Here is a 7,836-nt window from a genome sequence, read left to right as displayed (position 1 = left end):
GTAAGCCCTAAATGCAATCATATGTATCCTTATAAGACAGGGGCAGAGGGAGATTTGACATGAAGGGAAGGCAATGTGAAGGTGAAGGCAGAGATAGGAGTGATGTGGCCACAAATCGAAGAATGCCACGGAATGCCAGTAGCCACCAGATGATTGAGAAGCAAGGAACAAATTCTTTCCCAGGGCCTCCAGAGGGAGTATGTCCCTGCTAATACTTTGATTTCAGACTTCTGGCCTCCAGACTGATAATGCATTTCTGTTTAAAGCCCCCCAGTTTGTGGTTATTTGTTACAGCAGCCGCAGGAAACTAATGTATCATTCTGAGGTCCCCCAAATCTCAACCCATTGCAGTTCAAGATAGAGTCCAAAATCTCATTAGCTGAGAAGTATGGCGTACCAGAAAAGAAGTGACTACTGTAATAAAAGGCATACATCTAAAGATTAGAAGACATGATGAAAACATCTTCCATCAGTGCTATAGTTTGAATGTTTGTCCCCTCCAAAATTCTTGTTGAAAGATAATTCCCAGTGTAACAGTATTGAGAGATGGGCCCTCTAAGAAGTGATTGAGTTATGAGGACTCTGCCCTTATGAATGGAGTAACCCATTCATTAATTAATAGATTAATGGGTGAATGGGTTATCATGGGAGTGGGTTAGTTATCATGAAAGTGGATCCGTTATAAAAGCCAGTTTGGCTCTCTCTTGTGAGTCATCTCACCCTGAGATGCCTTCTGACATGTTTTGATGCAGCATGAGGCCCTCACCGGAAACCAACCAGATGTAGCTGCCTGAGCTTGGACTTCCCAGTTTCCAGAATCATGAACCAAAATAAACTTTTTTTCTTTGTTAACTACCTAGTCTCAGATATTCTGTTCTAGCAACAGAAAACAGGCTAAGACAATCAGCAAGTAGAATGTATCAGAACATTTCCAGGGAGACTGTTGCAAGAAGTTCTTAAACTGATAATTCCTTACTGCCTTTCTTAGTCTAATGTTGTGCTCACTCTGGATATGAGTAACCTTTTTTCATGGAAATTGTTTCTGTAGAGCTGCCCATCTTAAAAAATGCCCATTGACATTATTCACAATAGCAAAGACTTGGAACCAACCCAAATGTCCATCAGTGATAGACTGGATTAAGAAAATGTGGCACATATACACCATGGAATACTATGCAGCCACAAGAAAAGATGAGTTCATGTCCTTTGTAGGGACATGGATGAAGCTGGAAACCATCATTCTCAGCAAACTATCGCAAGGCCAAAAAACCAAACACCGCATGTTCTCACTCATAGGTGGGAATTGAACAATGAGAACACTTGAACACAGGAAGGGGAACATCACACACTGGGGCCTATCGTGGGGTTGGGGGAGCAGGGAGGGATAGCATTAGGAGAAATACCTAATGTAAATGATGAGTTAATGGGTGCAGCACACCAACATGGCACGTGTATACATATGTAACAAATCTGCACGTTGTGCACATGTACCCTAGAACTTAAAGTATAATTTAAAAAAAATGCTCATTGATAGAATCTGGGGGAATCTCTTTAAAGAATCAGTTGCCCTATCTAACTCAGCCGGGAGGTCGAGGGACTCTCTGGTTCCTAATTGTAAGAAGATGTCTGTTAAGGTGAAACCAGCAAGAGTAAGGCACATCTTTAGGGACTGGTGACAGGTAATTCACTTCAAAACAAAAATCCTGTATTTCTGTTTGTGGTCTTTTGTGCATTTTAGTGTATATCCTCTATCCCCACACCACAGCGAACATACCCCCCTCTGAAGACATGGCTTGTGGTACATTGTTAACTGCCATGTGAAAGTGCTTTCACCTCTTAAAAACAAATTTGTTTTGCATTTCTTGGATTTTGCCCAGCAAATCTACCTTTTAATTAGAAGAAATAAAAGCATGAGACCAAACCTTTGACTTATAAGAGTAAAAAAGTAAAAATAAACAAATGCCGGCTGCAGTAGTACTCACTTGTAGTCTTAGCTACTCCGGAGGCTGAGGCAGGAGAATTGCTTGAATCCAGGAGTTTGAGTCTAGCCTGGACATCATAGTGAGACCCCATCTCTTAAAAAAATGTGAGGAAAACTAGTTAGGGAAAAAAGGGTTATTTTTATTTTCATATCATTCTAAGTCTTTACATACATCTTGTATGCTTTGCTGTTTTGAGGTCTGTACACTTCCACATGTGATCAAATAATTTAATCTGGGCACACTAGTGTTTGCCTTCTGCCATCTATACTACTTCCGATCTTTCACGTCTGTGTGGAACTTCAGCCAGGCTGTGAAGCTACAAGGACAAGCCCTTCTCAATCTGATACCACCTGACTCCTCTCTCTTCCATTCTGTCTTGAAAGAAATGTGTCCCACTCTGCAAAACAGCTTGTCCCCTGATCATTTCTCCCATGGTGGCCAAACCCTCCTTCTCAAGATTTGTGCCTTGGCCAACTAATAAATTACAGTGCTCTCACCCCCTGTCTTTATTTGAATCCACTCCAGTTGATAGCTATCATGAGCCATGCCTGCTACAAGGTAATGCCTGACTCTTAAAAATTCCTCCTCTCTACATCAAGTTTGATGCCTTCTGTGTTCTCAACCATGACCCATTTTACAAATCCATGTGCTCAATGTTCTGTGACTAGACTAACAAGCACCAGTCACACCCTTAAATCTTTTTGTCTCTTAGGTTGTTCTAGCCCAGAAATCTCTACCTTGTCTGCCTTCCCACCTCTTATGTTGTAGTCATCACCAGTCCCTCAAGACAGCCACCAAACCTGTTCTCCTTTCAAGCTCCAGGAAATTACCTAATCCCACTTCCTTACTTCTTTCTGCTTGGTTGCCCAGGCTCCCTAACCTAACCTGTGGTCACAGTTTTTTTAATAGTCTTGACCACAGCCCTAGAATTTCTTGTTCCCTCTGTCCTGAGTTCTGCAAATTCTGTTATCCCCATCCTCAATCCTAGATTATCTTACTTTTCACCTGCCTCGGGCTGCGAAGGCATTAAACAAGTAAAATACAGAGTATGAAAGGTTGTGGTCAAGGGACATTCAGTTGATATTAAGGATATTTGAACAGAGGCTTGAAGTAGGCAAAGGAGTGAGCTATGAGGATATCTGGGGAAGAATATTCCAGAAGAAGGGCCCTCAAGTGCAAAGACTCAGGTAGAGCATAGTAGGCATATTAGAGAAACAGTGGCCAGAGTGGTTGAAGTGAGAATGGGCAAGTGGGGAGAGGCTGGATGAGTGAGGATTCTTAAGAGGAGGGAAGAGGATGAGGTCAGGAAGGTAGCAGGAACCAGATCACTTGGGACCTTATGGAGCCTAGTAAGAAAGAGGTTTGGTTTTTTTACTTGGAGTGAGATCCAGCACAAAGGGTTTTGAGCATAGAAGTGATTTTAAAGAGGCAAGGGTAGAAACAGACCACACAGTGTTAGAGGTGATTGGTTTCTGGATATATTTGGAAGATAAAGCTGATAGGATTGCTCTAATAGATTAGATAATGGGGGTGGGGGTGGGGGGAGCACAGATTGGAGAGAGTGCACTCTCATATGTACTCACCAGCTGGGAGTCTTTGCCAGAGCAAATGACAGAATGGAATTGCAATTTACTAAGCTGAAGAAGGCATGCAGGAGGAGTTGGCTTGGAGGAGAAGAGCAGGAATTTGGTTTTGGACGTTTTAACCTAGTTAGGCAGCAACCATGGTGTATGTTTCTTTGTGGTTCACTGAATGCCCAGGACAATGCTTTGTGCATAGTAGGTGCTTAGTAAATGTTTGATTTTATTTTGATTCAGTGATTTGGCTTTTGTAAATATATATTAATATAATCAGTCATTAGCTGCTTAGTGCTGGCCTGCTTTGTGCCAAAGAGAAAAGCTCATTAGGTTTATAAATAGAAGATAAATTTCAGCTGTGTCTTCAGTGCAATTGATGTGGCTATGCCTTTGCCAGAGTGCTTTCATAATCTGTTCTCTGAATGCTGATCAAATTCTTATAATGAACAGGATGTCTATATAATGTGTACTTAGCTTCTTAATATTATGTGGATAGTTTGACTCCTCTACCATAGGAGTAGCACATGGTCAAGATGTGGAATAGATACCTATGGGACTGCTAATGGTTATTTTATGGTAAGAAAGTAGTTTCCAGAAATAATTTTAGAAGCCATTGTTGGGTATTTCTAGGTGCTAGATTTTTACCTCTTGTACTGACAGAATCTTTTTCTCCCAATGTGGTATTAATACATAATTGCCGCTCTTAGTCATTTTTCCAGTTTTTATCTTTATGACTGACGTTTTGTTCTTTTACAAATTAAATCCGTATTTTTCCTTGTTCCTTATTTGTCTTTTATACTGAAGTAACCTGTGACATTTGAAAGTTAAATTGTTTGATCTTACAGTTTACATCTTTAGATCATTTGACAAAATCTTGAAAAGCTTTTAATGAGCCATGCCACTGTCTCAGGTTATGATCACATAATGCTCTCATCATATATGAAACTGACTTTTCATCAAATGGTTTGGGTATTAATGCATCCAGAATTTTGAAAAATTGAACATTCCATGATCAGGGCGTTAAGACAACTTAGGACAGTGATGCCTGCAGTTCTATTTTAGTGCGTAGGACCTGTTTGGGAAGGAATAATTAAGGACATGCCATCCTGATACTGTGTTGCTCAGATGTGCCTGTATTATCTTATTATTCCTACCAGTGTCTCAGTTGCTCATACAAATTAATGAACAACTCATCTGTAAAGGATGTGGAAATTATCATACTTTCAAAAGCTTTTGGGAAACATCTATAAGGGCCTGTGTTTAGGTTGTATTTCCTATGATGATACCCTTAGAAATCTGATTAAATATACTGCTGAGGAGGATTTTGATAGCTTTGAAAAGAATGAAGGCTAAATTTTATGTGGAAGATGGCTATATATACAATCTGAAGAAAAAAGTCAACTATTTTATCATTGTACAAATGTGAAATAATGTTTTGAATATTTTTTTTATATTATAGCATTGACTTTGGATTTAAGTTTCCTTTTCTTATAGCAAAGAATAAAAAAATTAGGAACCTCTCTGGACCTTCTCTTAAGGTTGACTGATTCCCTTTATATATTTAAGAAATTTTTTACCAAGGCCAGTAGGGCTCACTGATTTTTTCTCCTCCTTGAGCAAATCTCAAAAAGAAATGGTATGATTAAAGGAGGTATATACTTTCCCATGTAAAAATCTTAGCTGTGTGTGTTTTTTGTTTTTTTTTGAGACAGAGTCTTGCTCTGTCACCCGGGCTGGAGTGCAGTGGCATGATCTGGGCTCACTGCAAGCTCCACCTCCTGGGTTCACGCCTTTCTCCTGCCTCAGCCTCCGAGTAGCTGGGACTACAGGCGTCTGCCACCATACCCGGCTAATTTTTTATATTTTTCGTAGAGATGGCGTTTCACCATGTTAGCCAGGATGGTCTTGATCTCCTGACCTCGTGATCCACCCTCCCCGGCCTCCCAAAGTGCTGGGATTACAGGCGTGAGCCACCGTGTGCCCGGCCTATTAGCTGTGTTTTTTAAGAGATTACTTATTTTTAAAAATTAATTTTCTTTGATGAAATCTCCAGTTTATAGGTTTGTTCTTTTTTATATTTGGGGAAAAGTAAGTTTTAAGGAAGTTAATATAATAGGTCTCATACTGTGAAGAATCTAGATTTAATAAGTATGTTATGATCAAACGTAGTTGGCCACCTTCTTTCTCTAGTATTCGCTTTTTGTTGTTCATGAAACGTATTTATATTGACTGCCTAGCATGTGCCGGGCACCGTGCTAGCTCCTGGGAATACAATAATGAAAAATACAACCAAGGGACCTTCCCTTATGGAGCTTTGATTCTGGTAAGGCAGAAAGACATTCAGCAAGTAAGATTATATAGATAAGAGTGCGGTGGTTTGAATGTGTTCCCCAGAGTTCACGTGTTGGAAACTTAATCCTGAATGCAATGTGTTCTGAGGTGTGACCTTTAAGAAGTGGTTCAAACAGGAGGGCTCTTCCTTCATGAATGGATTAATGCCATTATCACAGGAATGGTTCCCTTATATAAAAGGATGAGCTCACCCCCTCTTTGCCCTTTTGCCTTCCACCATGGGATGACGTAGCAAGAGGGCCCTCACTAGATGCCAGTCCCTTGAGATTGAACTTCCTAGCCTTCAATTCTGTTACAGCAGCACAGAATGTACTAAGTCAGAGAGGATGCTCAGAGAAGGCTTATTTGAAGAGACGACATGGGAGTGGAGGCCTGAATATTGACTGGAAGCCCATCATGTGAAACATAGGGTGGAGGTGTTCTAGGTGGAGACAATAGCATGTTCAAAGTCTGTGAGGTAGGAACTACAAGTAGTCCAAAGTAATTGAAGTATAGTGTGCAGTTGTAGAACTCCACCATACAAAGGCAGGAATGGTCTTGTACAATATGAAATAATGAAGTGTGGGTTTTATTTTAAGAACAGTGGGAAGTTACTGCAATAATTCAAAGATGAGAATTACACAGTTTTAAAAGTTCTCTTGCTGCCTTGTGCAGTTTGGGTTTGGATGGGATAGGGTGTGTACGGGAGCAGTATTGAGGAAGCTTTGGCAGTAATTCTGATGAAATGTAATGCCACCTGAACCATGGTGGTTACAATGGAAAGGAGAGTCATGCGTGGCATAACGACATTTTGGTCAATGACAAATTATCTGTACAATGGTGGTCCCAAATGATTATAACACAGATGAAAAAACCTATATAGCCTACTGGTGTAATAGCTGTCCTAACATCCTAGTGCAACACATTACTCACATTTGTGATGATGCTGGTCTAAACAAACCTACTGCACTGCCATCCGTATAAAAGCATAGCATATATAATTATGTACCTTACATAACACTTGATAATGATAGTATTTGGCTCTGTTAATGGTTTATGTATTTGCTATGGTGTACCTTTTATCATTATTTTAGAATGTGCTCCTTCTACTTATGTATTTTAAAAAGTTAACTATAAAGCAAGTCCTTCAGGAGGAATTCCGGAAGGCATCATTATCACAGGAGATGACAGCTTCATGCATGTTATTGCCCCGAAGACCTTCTGGTGGGACAAGATGTGGAAGGTGGAAAACAGTAATATTGATGATCCTGACCCTGTGCAGGCCTAGGCTAATGTGTATGTTTGTGTCTTTTTTTTTTTTTTTATTGAGATGGAGTCTCGCTCTGTCGCCAGACTGGAGTACAGTGGCACGATCTCGGCTCACTGCAAACGTTGCCTCCTGGGTTCAAGTGATTCTCCTGCCTCAGACTCCTGAGTAGCTGGGATTACAGGCATGCACCACCACACCCAGCTAATTTTTGTATTTTTAGTAGAGACAGGGTTTCACCATGTTGGCCAGGCTGGTCTCAATCTCTTGACCTCATGATCAGCCCACCTCAGGCTCCCAAAGTGCTGAGATTACAGGTGTGAGCCACCATGCCTGGCTTGTGTCTTTGTTTAAAAAAAAAAAATTTTTTAAGTAAAAAAAAAATTAAAATTTAAAAAATAGAAAAAAGCCTATAGAATAAGGATATAAAGAAAATGTTTTTATACAGCTGTATAATGCGTTTGTGTTTTAAGCTAAGTGTTATTACAAAGGAGTCAAAACATTTTAAAAATTAGAAAATTTATAAGGTAAAATGTTACAGTAAGATAAAGTTAATTTATTATTGAAGAAAGAAAAACTTTTAAATAAATTCAGTGTACCCTAAGTGTGCAGTGTTGACAGTCTGCAGTAGTGTACAGTAATGTCCTAGGCCTTCATACTCACCCACCACTTTACTCAC

General features: G+C 40.0%; 1 protein-coding gene across 14 annotated transcripts in view; it reads left to right on the top strand.

The window, feature by feature from the left end:
• SGMS1 (sphingomyelin synthase 1) overlaps positions 1-7,836 on the top strand; it is a 319,585-nt gene that overhangs the window by 247,228 nt on the left and 64,521 nt on the right. The window lies entirely within an intron of this gene.

The sequence above is a fragment of the Homo sapiens genome, chromosome 10 (assembly GCF_000001405.40).
Source record: "Homo sapiens chromosome 10, GRCh38.p14 Primary Assembly".
NCBI lineage: Eukaryota > Metazoa > Chordata > Mammalia > Primates > Hominidae > Homo > Homo sapiens.
The sequence above is the reverse complement of the archived record's forward strand: the minus strand, read 5'-3'. Positions and strand labels throughout refer to the sequence as shown.